The 18,246-nt window shown below is 35.0% G+C and overlaps 1 protein-coding gene across 23 annotated transcripts in view; it reads right to left on the minus strand.

The window, feature by feature from the left end:
* DCDC1 (doublecortin domain containing 1) overlaps nt 1-18,246 on the minus strand; it is a 506,137-nt gene that overhangs the window by 260,823 nt on the left and 227,068 nt on the right. For 22 of the 23 annotated variants that reach the window (NR_170625.1, XR_002957144.2, XR_002957145.2 and 19 more), the window contains 2 exons: nt 13,267-13,359; nt 3,044-3,214 (listed from right to left, as the gene is read on the minus strand). Coding sequence is in view for 20 of the 23 variants with exons in the window: in XM_024448478.2 (XP_024304246.1) it covers nt 3,044-3,214; nt 13,267-13,359 (264 nt within the window). In the remaining 3 variants the exon portion in view is untranslated. Of the gene's footprint in view, nt 1-3,043; nt 3,215-10,863; nt 11,295-13,266; nt 13,360-18,246 lie in introns of those variants that run through there. The other variant, XM_024448489.2, reaches the window with a different exon arrangement.

Raw genomic sequence — 18,246 nt, forward strand, 5'->3', positions numbered from 1 at the left:
ACACTATTTTAAAGTTCATATGGAACCAAAAAAGAGCTTGTACACTCAGGACAATCCTAATCAAAAAAGAAGAAAGCTGGAGGCATCATGCTACCTGACTTCAAACTATACTACAAGGCTACAGTAAACAAAACAGCATGGTACTGGTACAAGAACAGACATGTAGACCAATGGAACAGAATACAGAACCCAGAAATAAGGCCACACACCTACAACTATCTGATCTTTGACAAACTTGACAAAAACAAGCAATGGGGAAAAGATTCCCTATTCAATAAATGGTGCTGCAACAACTGGCTAACCATAGGAGGAAATTGAAACTGGATCCCTTCCTTACACCTTATACAAAAAACTCAGATGGATTAAATACTTAACTATAAAACCCCAAACTATAAAAACCTTAGAAGAAAATCTAGGCAATAAAGAGCAGGATACAGGCATGGGCAAAGATTTTATGATGAAATCACCAAAAGCAATCACAACAAAAGCAAAAATTGACAAATGGGATCTAATTAAACTAAAGAGCTTCTGCACAGCAAAAGAAACTATCATCAGCACAAACAGACAACCTACAGAATAGGAGAAAATTTTTGCAATCTATCCATCTGACAAAGGTCTAATATCCACAATTTACATGGAACTTAAGCAAATTTGCAAGAAAAAACAACCCCATTAAAAAGTGGGCAAAGGATATGAATAGACACTTCTTTAAAAAAAGACGTACATGTGGCCAATAAACATATGAAAAAAAGCTTAACATCACTGATCGTTAGAGAAATGCAAATCAAAACCACAATGAGATGCCATCTCATGCCCGTCAGAATGGTGATTATTACAAAGTCAAGAAAAAACAGAAGCTGGCAAGGTTGCAAAGAAATAGGAATACTTTTACACTGTTAGTGGGAATGTAAATTAGTTCAACTATTGTGGAAGACAGTGTGGTGATTCCTCAAAGATTTAGAACTGGAAGTACCATTTGATCCAGCATCTCATTACTGGGTATATACCTAAAGGAATATAAATCATTCTCTTATAAAGATACATGCATGTGTATGTTCATTGCAACACCATTTACAATAGCGAAGACATGGAATCAACCCAAATGTGCACCAATGATAGACTGGATAAGGAAAATGTGGTACTTACACATCATGGAATACTATGCAGCCATGAAAAGGAATGAGATCATGTCCTTTGCAGGCATATGGATGAAGCTGGAAGCCATTATCCTCAGCAAACTAACTGAGGAACAGAAAACCAAACACTGTATATTCTCACTTATAAGTCAGAGATGAATAATGAGAACACGTGGACATAGGGAGGGGATCAACACACACTGGGGCCCATCAGGGGCGGTTGGGTGGGGGGTAGAGCATTAGGGAAAAGAGCTAATGCATGCTGGACTTAATACCTAAGTGATGGGTTGATAAGTGCAGGAAATCACTATGGCACACGTTTACAAACCTGCACATCCTTCACATGTGCCCTAGAACTTAAAAAAAAATTAAAATTAAAATAAAATGCAAAAAAGGGAGTATATATGAGAGAGACAATTCTGACCCTAAAGTTAAGTATCTGTTACCCAGCCCATGTGCCAATATGTATAAGTGATAGAAATTCTTCAGAAATAAGCAGTGAACTTGAGGGAAAACAAAACACTTTTTTTCCCCAAGTCACACCGTAGTTCATACGAATAGCTGCTGATACAAATGAGTAGGATGAATGCCATTAAAGCAACTACACTTCCCCATCCCTTTTTATTTTTTCTTAGCAGCTGCATCCTTCTAGAAAACAACCACTCTCCCTCACCTGGTTTCTCTCTTAATCAATAGCAAGTACTTTGCAAAATTGCAGAATGGATTTGTAATCAAGTCAAAAACCTGGAAAAGAACAATGCTACTGCACTATAGAAACCCTTGACCTTGATGTCTTGAACATCACTTCCTAAACCCTTAGCTGACTAGCAGACTATGAGAAATAAATTATCATGTTTAACATGAAATTACATTTCCCAAAAAGTCCATTTTTACATTGTAATGTTCTCACTCAAAATACACACGGGAATGTCATTAAAAGAAATGTTATTGGTCAAAAATATAATGTTTCTAATGTTACTTGCAGAATAAAACAATATTAAGAAAGAGGAATTGCAGAGATGAAGGTTGATCAAAATATAATTTACTTCGAATGTTATCACATACCCATAAAAATAATCAAAAGGAAATGACGAGTTGTAGTAACCATGATTTCTTAAATGGAAATAGGCTACACTGTGAGTAATTCAAATTTTACTAACTACAATCTCTTGAAATGCAGGATATGAAATTATAGGACAATATTAACTTGACAAACTTAACATGGAATATCTGCTATGAAAATCAAAAGTATTTAAATTCCCTAAGCTTTTAGTACCAAAACCACTTTAGCCAAGTATGAGTTGTTCTTTATCTCTCTCAAAGATGCAATAGCAAAGTAGTAGAGGACATTTAGCGATCTTGTCCTGACAAATAACCAATTCACCTTTTTTCCCAGTATATTCTTAAGTATTGATTTTACCAAGTGAACTCCAACATGTGTCACACTTATCCAATACAGATGCTTTTCCTTGGAAATGTAGTTTGAACATCAATCAGTCACCTGGCCTTTCACCTTCAATTTCTATTGCCACTGTCTGTCAACTATTAAAGCTTGCCCATTTCTCCAAATGTTATTTTTAGAAACTGAAATATGCCATGACCATTGTGAAAAATTTGTTTCTTGGAAAAGTGTGCAAATGTTCACATGAGTAAATTCCTTCATTACAATTACTTTTCTGAATTGGAAACTAGTTAAAGCTTATAAATACACATTTCAAAGATCTCTAGGTATTTTCTTTTAAAATCTGTTTCCTGAATAATAATATCACCACTTGTAATATTACCAGTTTGAGGAAGACAACATTAAAAGAAATTCAAGCTAAGTGGCATTGTTATAAGTGTTTTCAAATGGAGCAGAATGCTTCTGCTCTGGCTGAATCCAATGAGAGGCACAGAACGACACCCACCTTAAGCTGCAGGCCTCCTGGGACAAGCGTGTTTGCTGGAAGGCTTTTAATGTGTTGGTAGACATAAGAGGAGAATTGCTCCTGCTCAGCCTGTAATTGGGGGCCAAGTTTACAGAGATGACCTATGTTACTTTTGATAGCTGTCTGCAATTCATCAATCAGCCTGCTCACCTGAAGGGGTTAAATTACAAGAGTTGTTAGCGAGAAGTAATTGTTGATGTCACACCTATTAGATTTTTGAGTACCTAGCTTGATGGGGGGAAAATGACTTCAATACAGGAATTTGAGTACAGATCTATCCTCAAGTAAAAACAATGAAAGAGATATACATTCCTACATCTACTTTTATTTATGAAAAAATGTCTAACATTTTCACTTCAGTAATATGGGGTAGGTAGCCCTTTACAATTGTTGAATGAAAAATATCTCTGGATATGAAAAGAAACATATACATTTGACAAGTTTGCAAAGGACTTTTAAACTGTTTAACAAAATAAAACCCTCCTAGGACTTTAAATAATCCAATGTATGTAACCTACCACCAAATATTTCATTTCACTACATGTATCTTCCTTTTTAGAATATTTTATTTTATTATGTGTAACATTTAAATTTTCAATATATATATTAAATTCATTATCATTTTGTTGACCTTTAAAGTTAACCTATTATCTTCCTCCCAAATATTCCAATACTTTTTCCCACATTTCATAGATACAATTTTCTAAAATGTATATAACTTCAAAGACAATGCTCTGTTCTGGAAAATATTTTAAATATATATTAATGTCAAAATAAAACGTATAGTTTTTCCAGAAACACCAAAGGCTAAGGAATCTGTAACCTTGATTTTTAAATTTCTAGACTTCTACTTGGTATATTTTAGACAGACATATGAGCCTTACTTGTGGATTATTAATAGCAGTAGTTAACATTTTCACCCATATAGTTTACAAATTAAGAATCATTACCATTCTTTGACTCTTCACTGTTTTATGTAAACTTATATTCTCTCTAGTAGGCTGGATTCTTACATAAACACTGGTTGATATTATGGTAGTGACCATAAGAGATGAAAAACAGAAATCTACCTCATCTGTGATTCTTCAAATTAAACAAATTAGACCCATTTAGAATTATGAGTAAGTTTGAATAGAGCATTGACATCGAAAACGTGGGTTAAAATCCTGGATTCATCACTTACTGACTGGGAGACTTTGCACAGGTAATAAAATCTTTGTCTATAAATGAAGAATAACACTGGCTTTACATATTGATAATTAAATTAGATGAAAAAATGGAGAGCCCACTGTCTAACCTACAGTAAGTGGCCAATGTACTGGTATATTTTTATAGTGTTTCCTTTTTGAAATCTAGGTGTTTTCTGCATAACAAGTTTTAATTTTTTATTTCTTGGTCTATCTTTTCTATCTCTATCACTATTTCACATGAGGAAGTCAGAAATTCCAAACTATTTGCTGTGTAGATCCTACAGCTCATTTCAATATTCACAGATAAAATGGAAAATCCTTCTACAAGAGTCTTCCCTGTACTTACATCTCATCCACTTCTTTGTCAGCTAAAAATATGGTATTTGCCCCGCCTATATTCTAATTCTGATGTTAAATCCATTATTTCTATCCCTTCTGCAGAGCATTCAGAGAAGTTAGTGACAGCCAGTGTGCACTATTACTCATATGACCTAAATGTATTATCTACTCTACTTATTTAGTTCAAGTTTATATGTATATGTATACATATAAATTTCAATTACATTTGACTTTTACCAAGACCTTTACAAGTGTTACATGCATAGAAACAAGTTAACTTAAAATGATTCCTATTTTACTTTCTTTTCCCATATCCCTCTTATTTGTTCCTATGTAATAAATTGTCTACTCCATTTAAATAATCCTTTCTTCTAAACAAAGTGTTGGCAAACTTGTTTTAAAAAGGGTCACATAGTAAATATTTTTGGCTTTGTAGGCCATAAGGTATCTGTCAAAATTATCTAACCCTACAATTGTATTTGGAAAGCAGACACAGACGATATGTAAATGAATGGGCATGGCTGTGTTGAAATAAAACTTTATTTACAAAAAAAAATAATAATAAGCTGCAGGCTAGATTTGTCCCCAGGGCTATATTTTGCAGATCCCTCTTCTAAATATGTATATGTCATATCCATTCTTTCATTTCTTATAAGTAATAGCCCTCAATCCCCTCATCCCCCTCCCCAGTTTGGATTAACAAAATACCTACTAAGCGGTCTCCCTGTTCCCATCTCTTCCCCTCCATGCCATTAGGTCACCTCCACCAAATTCATCCACCTTGAAAAGTATATTAAACCACCTAGCTGCTCCTTCAGATTCTTGAGCTTGGTATTCAAGATTCTAAGACCCTTTATAATCTGATCTCTACCTGGCTTTATGGCTCATATTCCCATCAGACCCCTCTCCTCTAACCAAATGTCTCTTCTCACTGTCCCCTTGCACACACATACACGCATCCCTTCCATTTCTAAAGTATCATAAGTTAGATAATGTTTAACCCAACACTCTGATCCCACAAATGAGGAAATTGCATCCCAGAAAAGTTAATTTGCCAAGGATACTCAGATAATTAATACTGGCACTGAAATTAAAGTGTATGTCGCTTGATGCCTAGGCCATAGTTTTATGACTCATTCCTCTCTTATATCCAAGTCCACTCATCAGAAACCCCACTTCCTCTAGCAGACCTTCCAGCACTTAGTACCTGGATATTACCATCTGGCACTTAATCAAAGTCAGCTGTCTATTGTTCATTCTTTACTAATAATTCTATTAGTATTATATGTGACATATATGTGACATCAGAATTCCTATGTGATTTGCTTTGGCCAGTGAAATACGAACAGAAGTAACATATGCCACTTCTTAGCAGAAGCTTTAAGAACCATTGTGCAGTTCTGCCATTGCTCTCTTCCGCCTGCCCACCCCACCCCATGAAAACAGTAATGTCCCAATAGAAACTGCTCCTTCAAGCCGTATCTCAGACTGAGAAAGACATACTGGTGAGAGCCACAAACAACCAGTAGCCAACATGTAAAGTGAGCAAAAAATGAATACTTGTTTTAAGTCACTCAGCTATTGGGCTCCTTGACTTATACAGCACAATCTACCAAAAGCTGATAAACACATTGCATTCTACTAAATCCCTACAATCCTATATAACTTATATAGTAGGTTACTAAGAGTCAGCCTTTAACTGTAAATTCAAATGAGAGTCTAGAAATTTCTATCATCTATTCATAAGGAAGACCCTCATGCCAGTGAAATTTGGACAAAACTTTGGATATCATGGGAATGGAAGGCAGAGACAATACAGGGAGGTCAGGAGGAATCCTAAGGGAAACAGAAAAAAGAAAATGAGATAAAGAAAACAAAATTAGGCCGGGCGCGGTGGCTCACGCCTGTAATCCCAGCACTTTGGGAGGCCGAGGCGGGTGGATCATGAGGTCAGGAGATCGAGACCATCCTGGCTAACAAGGTGAAACCCCGTCTCTACTAAAAATACAAAAAATTAGCCGGGCGCGGTGGCGGGCGCCTGTAGTCCCAGCTACTCGGGAGGCTGAGGCAGGAGAATGGCGTGAACCTGGGAAGCGGAGCTTGCAGTGAGCCGAGATTGCGCCACTGCAGTCCGCAGTCCGGCCTGGGCGACAGAGCGAGACTCCGTCTCAAAAAAAAAAAAAAAGAAAACAAAATTAATGAAAAGAAAAAGAAAAGAAAAGGAAGGAAGAAATTAAAGGGAGAAGGTGATTGGGGGAAATGAGAAGGGAAGAAAGAGAAAGAAGATGTGAAAAAGAAAAGAATGGTGTTTATAGGCTATAAAATCCAGTGACAAGTTTCTCTCGTTATCCTCCTTTTCTTACTTTTTGGAATGAATTTCCATGCTTTCCATAGTACTGTTAATTCTACAAGAAAGTTGTAATATTTAAAATATGGAAATAATAAATGATCCAGTATTAGTCTATGCTTTCAGCCTCATTTTCACCACCAGATCATACTACCCTCCAGCAGTATTATCCTTAAAAAACAATGGATAATAGTGTATAACATCCTTGAAGCTAAAGACCAATACAGGACAGGTGGCTTGCATTTATGGTTATCTGATGAAATTAAAATCCAAGAATGAAAGGCCCTAAATAGAAGGACTCCATTTCCGAAAAATACTGGTCCTCTCTGAACCCATCTCCAGCATCATGTGATTTAGGAAGATACAATGTTATGCAGTCTTTAAAGTCTACTAAGTATCATGCATTGTATTTCACTAGTCAATTATAATGTTCTCTATAATTTCATGTACTGCACCTTGTGCTATAGCAAGTCACACACAAAAAAAGGGAGGAAACTCAGACTTTGATTTGAGGGCATTTTTATACATGACTGGTTTTACTGTCACAATCCATAGCCTTTCACTGATAGGGGATTTCATGTGACATCAAAAATCAACCAACCATACAATTGATGATGTCATTTGCACTCTAAAGGGCTATTGGCTAAAGTCTTAAAAGTTTCATCCGGCATAGATTTTTGGTTGCTTCAGAAACCTTCTCTACTATTTTTATTGGCTCCAGGATAATCTGTTAACATATGTGAAACAAAATTACACCAATTATCACCTGATTTTTAAAAATAACTTAAAACTCTCAAGGTATCTAGCAAAGATTAACATATCTTAAACACAGGAGAAAATATATCAAGAATCCTGTCACTGACATTTTGATAATGTTTCCATTCAGTTTTACTCAAACTTGATGTTACTTTACATATTCATAAGGTCTTTTATCCCCAAAGTGTTATGTTTTGTTCTCAGTTATTATGATAACATGTCATCCTAAAAGACAACTCTACACATGAAATAACTCATATACTAAAATCAGGTAGGTAATATAATACTCATGAATTATTTTACATAATATGATTTTTTTTCCCAATCACAGATATTGCTAAAAGGGGGAAAGTGTTCTTTAAAATTCTTCAACGTGAATCTTTTTTTTTCTTCAAATCCTTTTTTTTTCCTCTACAAAGGCAATGTGAATAGGGGTAAAAGAAGACAAAACTTGACCTTTTGTGATCCCAGCATTAATGGGTCTGTTCATAATTCAATCTATGTGTGTGTGGGGGCATCCATGTGGAAACATAGAGGCCTGAGAGACATAAAGCCTTTCCCTTTAAACATTATCTGACCCTATCAGTCCCATTCACAAAAGAAGGCTTACGTATGCATATGTTGAAAAAATGCACCATCTCATTGTGCAGCAGAAAGCCTACACATTCTACTCTTCATTCTCCGTGGAAATGCAGCACGGAAGTGACACTTGTACAGAATTTGGGAGAGTGACAAATAAGCAGAAGGTAGCAAAAAAATATTGAATATTCTGGTGAGAAAACAAACCCAAACTTCTGAAAGAATACAAATGTGCACATGTCTATAAACATACAGACAGGTTTTTGCATAACATGTAGGGCAGTTTGATCATGTTTGTATGGTGTATGCAAGCAACCTTTGAATTCAATTAAATTCTCAAGATGATTTATAGTCAGAGCAAAGTGTTATTCTGTTTATAATCAGTCTTCAAAAGCAGACATGTTGAAGCTATGCATTTCTGAGCCATACATTGTGAATACTGTACATTGGCTATTATTAATGACTCTTTGTGGAGCTCCTGGTTTTTCTAGTGATGAGTTCAGCTGTCAGCCTGAATTCTGTGTGGGCTTGAATCCACCCATGTTATTAAGGAGAAATCCAGAGCACTTTGCACAGAACTGTCACTTGAAATCAGCACAAACGGTGGCAGCCTCTATACTAGGAACGTCATCTAGGCATGTAACACACGGAATGGTCTCAAAGCCAGGTCAGCACTTCAATTTAAGATCAGGAAACTTTCTAATTAACAGCATATTTAAGATGAAACATAAAGGAGGCAGGGAAATAAAATTAGTATTTTAAACTGCCTAAAATCTCTTCTTGGTTTCAGGGCCAATAATACAATGTTTTAAGCGGTAAGAAGGAAACAGAACCCTAATTTGTTGAATGAAGATTGGAAAAAACATGGGAGCCTGAGAGCAAAGTGAACTATCCCTTGATTTGGAAGTTGAGCTGGGTGTAACTAACCAGGAAATCTGAAGTGCGTAGCACCTCTTATTGCCAGCACTTCAAATACTACCAAATTTTTGTGGGTTTTTTTTTGTTTTTGTTTTTGTTTTTTGACCCAGAGTCTCACTCTGTCGCCCAGGCTGGAGTGCAGTGGCACGAACTCGGCTCACTGCAACTTCCACCTCCCGGGTTCAAGTGATTCTCCTGCCTCAGCCTCCTGAGTAGCTGGGATTACAGGCATGCACCAGCATGCTCAGCTAATTTTTGTATTTTTAGTAAAGATTGGTTTCACTATGTTGGCCAGGCTGGTCTCGAACCCCTGGTCTCAAGTGATCTGCCCGCTTCAGCCTCCCAAAGTGCTGGGACTACAGGCGTGAGCCACCACGCCTGGCCCAAATACTACCAAATTTTTAATAGCTTCCTAGAACCCTTCTGAGATGAGAAACATATTGGAGGTAGATCTAACCTATTTTCAGCCAGAGGTACCTTATGTGCTGCTTTTAGGCCTATTCAACTATCTAACATCATACCCATCCACTCATGGGAGAAGGAACAATTGAAAACAGACAACTTCACTGTCTTCATAACTCTTCTGGCAATGGGGTTATGTTGATAGCAACAAGGATGATGTCAATTATACCTATGGGGACAGCTATGACATTGTGTCTCATAGACCTCTAACTCCAAGAGCATAAGTGACCATGGGTACCATCTACTGTGCTCTGAAATCCATCCCCAGGTTAGCACCAATGTCTGAGGATACTAAGGCAGGTCTATCCCTGAGAGTCACAGGACTCCTCTGATGGCCAAGTTTGGCTCAAAAATCCACCAACAGTTTTGCCAAATCTTTAGACTTCACAGTGGTCCAGGATGTTTTCACCCAACCTTCCTTTCCTCCCTCATTTGGGTCAGGCCTGCATTTCAGTCTGACAGATTTCTCAGCCTTATCCAGTGCTCTCTCCATTTTCTCTCATAGGCATTTCTTCTAATAACATTCTACACATTTAATGTCATCTTGGTACCTACATTATACAGAACCTGGAATAATGCACTTTTATACTGATAATAATAAGTCATATGCAAATTTCCAAAAGGCTTAATGTGGCTGGGCATAGTAGCTCACCTCTGTAATCCCAGCATTTTGGGAAGCCAAGGTGAGGGGATCACTTGAGGCCAGGAGTTCAAGACCAGCCTGGGCAACATAGCAAGACCCTATCTCTACAAAAAAATTTTTAAATGAGCTGGACATGGTGGTATATGCCTAAAGTCCCAGCTACTCAGGAGGCTGAAGCAAGAGGATCACTTGTGCCCAGGAGTTCAAGGCTGCAGTGAGCTATGATCACACTGCTTCATTCTAGTCTAGGTAACAGAGAGAGAGCCTATCTCTAAAATAAAAAAATTTTTAAAAAAATTTTAAAAAAGCTTAACATATATCATCACCTCAAAGTGGTTTTACGATGCATACGTTACTGTTACTCCCAAATTTCATGTGGAAAATTATGTGAAATGAAACAAGATTTTAAGATAAAACTGTAGGCAGTGGAAGATCTAAATCTCAGATTTTATGATGTTTAATTTGGGTTTTGAGAATTATCTAAGAATGTATTTGTATACAAATCATAGGAAAAATATTGAAGTAAATTCACCACCAAATTTTTCCTTTCTCTTTTCCATTAGGATTTCCTTTCTCTGTATGTTGATTAGACTTGATGCTTTAGCCCTAAAAGTTTTAGACTTTTTCTAATCAAAAGTTTTTTAAGCTATTCAACAGTCTAACTTCCTCATCCACTCAAGGAGTAAGAAACAACTGAAAATAGTGTTATCTTAAATGCCTTCATAACTCACCTGGCAAGAGAGTTATGTTAGTGGTAACAAGGACTTTTCTAAAAAGAGTCTTTTAGATTTTTTCTAACAAAAAGTTAGAACTTACACATCCAGATTAATATAATCACTTTCCAAGTAATCACACAGAAATTATCTTCAGAGGCTATGGAATATATTTAGAAAGTATCAGATGTACACACACATATGAACATACACATACATGAATATGTATTCTCCTCGCTGTGTATTTGTTTTTGAAGTAAGCAAAAGACTTTTTGAGCCAGAGCTGAAAAAGCAAATATATGACAAACTAAGGCATTGTGTAAGAAGAACACTGAAATATATAGTGCTAAAAAAATAAAGATGATGATAACAAAGAAGAAACACCAAATAAGCATAATTGCCATTAGATTTTCCAGAAAAGATAATTTTCATTTCCAATGTTGCTAACAAGGTAAGATTTAAAACTACGTATTTGCTATACTGATCATTTTCCAAGGCCACTTCAAGTTTTTAGTCATTGAAATTTTAATTTTGCATAAAATATCAAAAGGCAAAATAATTACAATGTTTAAAAGGAAAATAATCTGTCATTCTTTTACAATATTTTCTATTTAATCTCTAATGATAATTGGTATTGCTATAGATATTATTTTAATTATACTAATTAATCTAGAGAGACTTCTTTGCATTTCCCAAAGTTTCCAAGATACATGGTAGATTCACTTTTAGCTTACTGTGAAAATGTAATTAAATTCTCCAATTCTGGTAAAACATTTTTCAAACACACAGAGAATGATATTTTTTCAAATTTATAATTAACAACCTAGTCTTGTAACTTGTTAATATTCAGGAGAATGAGTCAGAACTATAATTTAAATCTGTGTAATTGCTATTTATTACATTTTAGAAATGGTTTAATTTTCCTTATGAAATATTATCTACTGAGATGGCTAATCAATTTTTACAATATAGTCTTTAATACCAGACAAGTGTGTCCCAAATACTAATATGGTCTCTAATGTAAGAATAGAATTTACACAGGAAAATTTGGTGCATGCTACCTGTTCATCTATTACAAAACACATGGTTAGTAAGGAAGATGAAATCATAATAAGAAATACCAAAACCCTGAAGCTTGAATGCATTTATTTACCAAAATATCAAAAAAGAAATATATGAAAAGTTTATTTTTAAAATATTCACATTATCTTATTTCTGAAGTTACTTTGGATTTTTACTGACAGTGGTACATAGAAATTAGAAAATTCACATTCTTTCCTTAGAAAGATTAAATGCTTTTGCATTCCAGGAAACGACATGAAAATCATTTTCCCCTTTTGTCTAACACCAATTTTGTATTATTTCATTTATGGACTATGCTGTCAACTTTACAGCATGAGCTTTGAAGAGAGGAAGGTTTGCTTTAATAATAATATTGTTCCTCATTACAATATTGCCTACAGAATCTTCTGATTAGCTCACTTAGGCTTAACATTTGTAAACTATAGTTTTCCCTTGATAAAAAATAACTTTGTTAGTATTTCTAAAATTCAGAACAATAACTCTATTCTTAGAAAACCAGATGTAACAGCAAGATATAGTATTTATCAAAAATTCAAAAAATTTTTGTTTTTCCTATGTTGGTAGGTTTTATAACTTCCAGTTTCAAATTGCATGTAACAATTTACTAATTTAGAAAACTTATGAGAAAATATTCATGAGACTTTTTTCAGAAAATTATATTTTGATTTATTCTTTCAAGTATACAATTACTTTTCATGCTGTCTATATCAATAAAATGATACCCGGTTGTGATCACTTTGTTTCTATCATAAGTTGTTTTCAGTTAACAAGAGTTGATTTACTATAAGACTCAAAGTAAAATTTATCTTCATTTTAAAATTAGTGTTCATTGCAGGTTTTTTTTTTTTTTTTTACGGAGTCTCGCTGTTGCCCAGGCTGGAGTGCAGTCGCGCAATCTCTGCTCACTGCAACCTCTGCCTCCCGGGTTCAAGCGATTCTCCTGCCTCAGCCTCCTGAGTAGCTGGGATTACAGGCGCCCGCCACCACGCCCAGCTAATTTTTGTATTTTTAGTAGAGATGGGGTTTCACCATGTTGGTCAGGCTGGTCTCAAACTCCTGACCTTGTGATCTTCCCGCCTCGGCCTCCCAAAGTGCGGGGATTACAGGCGTAAGCCACTGTGCCTGGCCCTCATTGCAGTTTTAAAATACAGTTTACAAAGTAATTTCCTTACTTCTTCCTGTTCCTTATGGTGTTCCTTTGCCGTCATTGAAAGAATGACTTTTTCTGTAATTTTCTCCTTCTGTTCATTCATGACCAGGTTCAACTAGAAAAAACAAATAAACAGCATGAAAGCAGGTATCTATTGACACCTAATAGCAACATTTATTCAAACAACTAGTTAAGCATAATCATGAATGTGATTTGATATTAATTTTGATGATACGTACATGAAAATAAACTCTGAATTTCATTTTTATATTTAAAACATTTAACAAACTGAATCTTTTACTTTCAATCTTTTATTGTTTTGAGGATTACTAAAGATGACTTAGGGCAAGAGTGTCCTTAACTGCAGATATTAGACACTGATGAGTACTTTTTTAAAGCACTTCATTAAAATGGACACAGCAACTTTTTAAAAAAAAATTAGGTTAATATTTCTATTAAATCCTTTCATTATGCATAGGGAGTAAATTGTTTGCTGTTATGTCGGGATAAGAAGTCAATGACATAAACTAAATGTGTCAGTTCAACAGTCTAGAATGGTGCTAAATCACTTATAATATTTCATGACAAAGGATCATGTATCTAAATACATAAACAGTTACTTTGAACCTGCTCCATTTACAAAGCTAGATAAAGGTCTTCTACTACTGCTGCCAACCCATGTGTTACAAAAAAATGAATGTGGCCCATTCTATATTTCTTTATAAATAATCCTTATAGAAACAAATGCTATTTTCATGCTAAACATGCAATTGTTATGTTTTATATGAAATTCTTATTTTCAAACAAAAATGATGTTAAACTCCCAAAATAATATTTGCTCAACAGACTGACATTAATAGAGAACAAGAGCCTAACAGAGAACCCTCTGAATTGGAATATTTAATAATTCTTTAGCAACGGACTTGCCATACCATATTTCCTTATTGAGGATTGGAGTAAAAATGAATAACGACCATGTTTTTACATTTTGTTTTGTTAGTGTTGTTATTTGAAGTAAGCTTTCTCAATTGTATGCCTGGAAAATCATGTCTGAGTGAACATAAATCTTTAATCCAAACCCTACCTGAAGACTTACTCCTATATTTGGCATAAAATAGAGGAAGGGAGGTTCAAAAATATGACCTCTTGAATCTAGATGTGCATATATACTAGAATAATAGTATTAAACCTGTAGACACTTCATCTGATGATATGAGACACAGCTAAGTATATCAGAGATTCCGTTTTGTTAGAGAGAAAAGGCCCAGGAATCTTTTGGTGATTCTGATGATCACCCTAGATAAGGAGTTGGGAAATGTTTCTGTAAAGGGCCAGATCGTAAATATTTTAGGCTTTATGGGGGTGGGGGGAGAATACAATCTCTGTTGCAATTACTTGACTCTGCCATTGTAGCATGAAATAGACACTAAATATATATACACACACATTATATATATATACACGTATATACATATCTATTTCATGCTACAATGGCAGAGTCATGTATATATATGTATATGAGCATGACTGTGCTTCAACAAAACTTTAAAAAACAACAATAACAACATGTGGCAGGCTGAATTTGGCCAACAAGCAGTGGTTGGCCAATCCCTGCCCTAGACTGAGAATCAGTGATAAAGAGTTTTTGAAAAATCATTATGTGAAACTATTTTCAAGGGATATATAAAAAAGCCCTTAATACTAAGAAAACTTAAATATCAAGCTCAACTTCCACACATGGAAGCCTAGGTGTGAACCATGGCACAACATATTGGTCTCAAGCATCTGTTTATTTGATCAGGGGAGCTCTCATCTCGAGAGGAAACGGGTGTAGAAGAGAGGGACTGGAGAATATTTACCAAGTTCATCTATTCTTTACAAAATTTATTTCCAAATGCAAAAACTTTCAGAACAGATCTTTCTTAAAGGGAAGCAAAACAAAACAAAAACAGAGCCATGAAACTCTTTGGTGCCACAGCAGGTGAGGCCGATGCTAACGAGTTTTCAGGGCCATGACATTTAGAACTGCTGCCAGGGAACTTTTTATTCAAAAGGTGGGAATTCTTTACCTTTGAAAGCACCACAGTTGGAAAAAAAAAAATCACCTCCACTCTAATATTCAACTACTAAAGAAGCACTAGCTAATCTACATAAAAGGGGGAAAACAGACCAATGCTACTGAAAAGCATCACAGCATAGTCCCAAAAGGGAAGTGCAGTAAGATATTAAGAAATAAATGGTCATCAAAATATAAGGATACACACATGGGTCCTTTTCTAGAAATAGACAAGGCATTCCAAAAGATACATTTTAATGAAATCATTTAGAGGAAATCGCTGAAAGTAAAAAGTCAAATTAAGAAAGGGCATTTTCAGCCTGAGGTATTAATAATATGCAGTGCTAACAGCATCTTTCCCTCAAACCCCATGACATGGTAACAATGGTAAGATTCTTCTCTCCTGTCACCTTTAATGAGAATATCCTGTTTCTTCATTAAAATAAAACTATATGCTTTCGATTTGCTGTTCTTATCTAAAATATATGAAATAACTTTTTGTCAATGGGTTTGATATTTCTGAGGTTGATTTTTCATGTGTTAAGAAGGGTAGAGATTTCAAAAATTAAAAATTGGAAACAGAAAGGTGGATAAAATTTGTATATAACTGAAAAATCAAATCCCCACCATGTAGGGGAGGAGGAAATCAAGTCACTTGGTTCTAAATATATCTTGTCCCTTTTAAATATAAGAAGGCATCTTCAAATAGTCATTGTGCACATGAAAATCTAACAAGCTAAACAGGAAGGTTTCATTCATCATTTTTGTCAGGCCTTGCTGCTAAGATTTTTAAAACTTGTAACAAACATTAGCCATACATACTTAGGTTAAAGTTCGGTTCATTCAATACTAATGGCAACCAGAATAGAACAATCAAGAAACTAGTCAAGAACAGTATCCAAAATGAAAGAAACAAGAAACATAATGGCTCTGTCAAAGAAAACTGAACAAAATTTTTTCAGGAAAATGGTCTGGTTAGACAAACAGAAGATAAAAAGGAATAAATTCACATTAAGCAGTTAGTTTAGAAACTAAGGGAAAAAAATCCACAAAGGTGTACCTGAAGTAACAGATTCCAATGAAACAATTTCCATTGGTTGTTACCTTCCAAACTATATCAGTTTACTTAAAACTATTAATACTAAGGTGTCAGGCACTGTGCCCTCTCCAAAGCCCTAAGGGTTCATAGTTTAGTAATATATAGTTCTTTTTAAAACATGTAGCCCCTTGTGACCATAATTAAAAGTGCTCTTAATTCTGAGGAATTCTTCAAATGTTTGCTGGCTCAGGAAGCTCTCTTATGGACATCCTAGAGGGGAAAATGGACTCAAGACCTCCTGCTGGAGAAATAAGTCAGAACAGCAGTGATCCCATCTTACGTGCATCACTCAGACTGATGGGTTTTATTTTTAACTCTCCCCAAAATATTTTAAAGTGTGCTTAGAAAAATAATACAGATTGTGTAAAAATTTTAACATGTTAAGATCTTTAAAAATCTCTTTTATAGGAGAAAAATACTATAGTAACTCTAGAGTTCAATTATTAATATCTTTAAAAAAGGTACAGTAATTTAACCAGCTAGTGTGTTGTGTCTACCTAATTCATATTGACATTCCAGATAGGTACTAGCCAAAGGTGGAAAAGCCTTTTAGTCCAACCAAACTCTCATTGCTCTGAACTATAGTTCTGCATGTTGTTTTCTCTGTATTAAGAATAGCTAATGATTCAAATGTGAAGTATATGATATGTGTTATATAAAATGTGCTTAATGAATCAACATGACCCAACAAGAAAACTGAATCTATTAATATAAAAAATCCAAGGTTTTCATGAGATCAATAGATCAGTTGATCTATTAATAAATATTTGATCCATATTTTACATGCAGATCAATATAGGTAATACTGTTTTAGCAGAAACAACATGATAATCAGCCTTCATATATATTGACAAGTTTCCCAATGGTCTGCTAATATACAAAAGACTGGGACAAATTACTTATTTATATATACAAAACATGGTTATAAAGGCCAGCTGCAGGTATTTTTTTGGAAAGTGCATTTTAATAAGGTCCTATTCAGTTACAGAACAAATGGAGAAGAAGTAGTTTGCACTACAGAGTTTAGCGCGAGAGCTTTCTCTTTTTCTAACCACGAAATCAATCATTTGTCCAGACTGTGGGAGTCAGAGTTAGTTACTGAAAAGAGCTCCGTATATAAACAAGTCAATAACTCATTGTGTGTTATTGTAGAGCTGAAGAAGTCGGCTTTCAAAGAGCTGCCCCAGCTTCTCTCAGAATGAATGTCACTGTATTCAGGGACTGGGAGAGAGTCCTTTGTTTCTAGCCATTGCTGGCTGCCATTTATGTATGGGAACGGGAGGTGGCTGCTGGGAGAGTGGGGGAAGCCACTATTTGGTATATGGATGTCCAGAAAACTCTGAATTTGGTCAACCTAGTTAATTTGTATCTGGAAATTCATTACTGGAATTAAGAGTGGCCACACAAAAAATATTTGGTAAAAGAATTAAACAATAAATGAGTCTGTACCCTTTCAAATTGGATAGGACTGATATTTTTGGTTGCCTACCTGTCCACAAAAATGAATCCAAAATCCAGGCATTGGTTTGAAAAGTTTGAATGTATAAAATCAAACTGGTGGAAAGGTCAACATATCAAATAAATGCTATCTGTTCCTGCCATAAATAGTAAGGTTGATTCTTGGGACTATCAAATGGAGTTTTCAAAGGATGTGTGTGTGTGTATGTGTGTGTGTGTGTGTGTGTATACACATATGCTTCTTTTATTTATCTCTATTACACATATAAGTTCATAGAGAAGGTGTATTTTAGGATAATAGAATTTCTTTAAAGAATGACTTTATGTGCTCAACATTTGTGATAAATTAAGGATATATTCCAACTATCTTTGACTTAAAATTAATTTAA

This window comes from Homo sapiens, chromosome 11, assembly GCF_000001405.40.
Source record: "Homo sapiens chromosome 11, GRCh38.p14 Primary Assembly".
Classification (NCBI taxonomy): domain Eukaryota; kingdom Metazoa; phylum Chordata; class Mammalia; order Primates; family Hominidae; genus Homo; species Homo sapiens.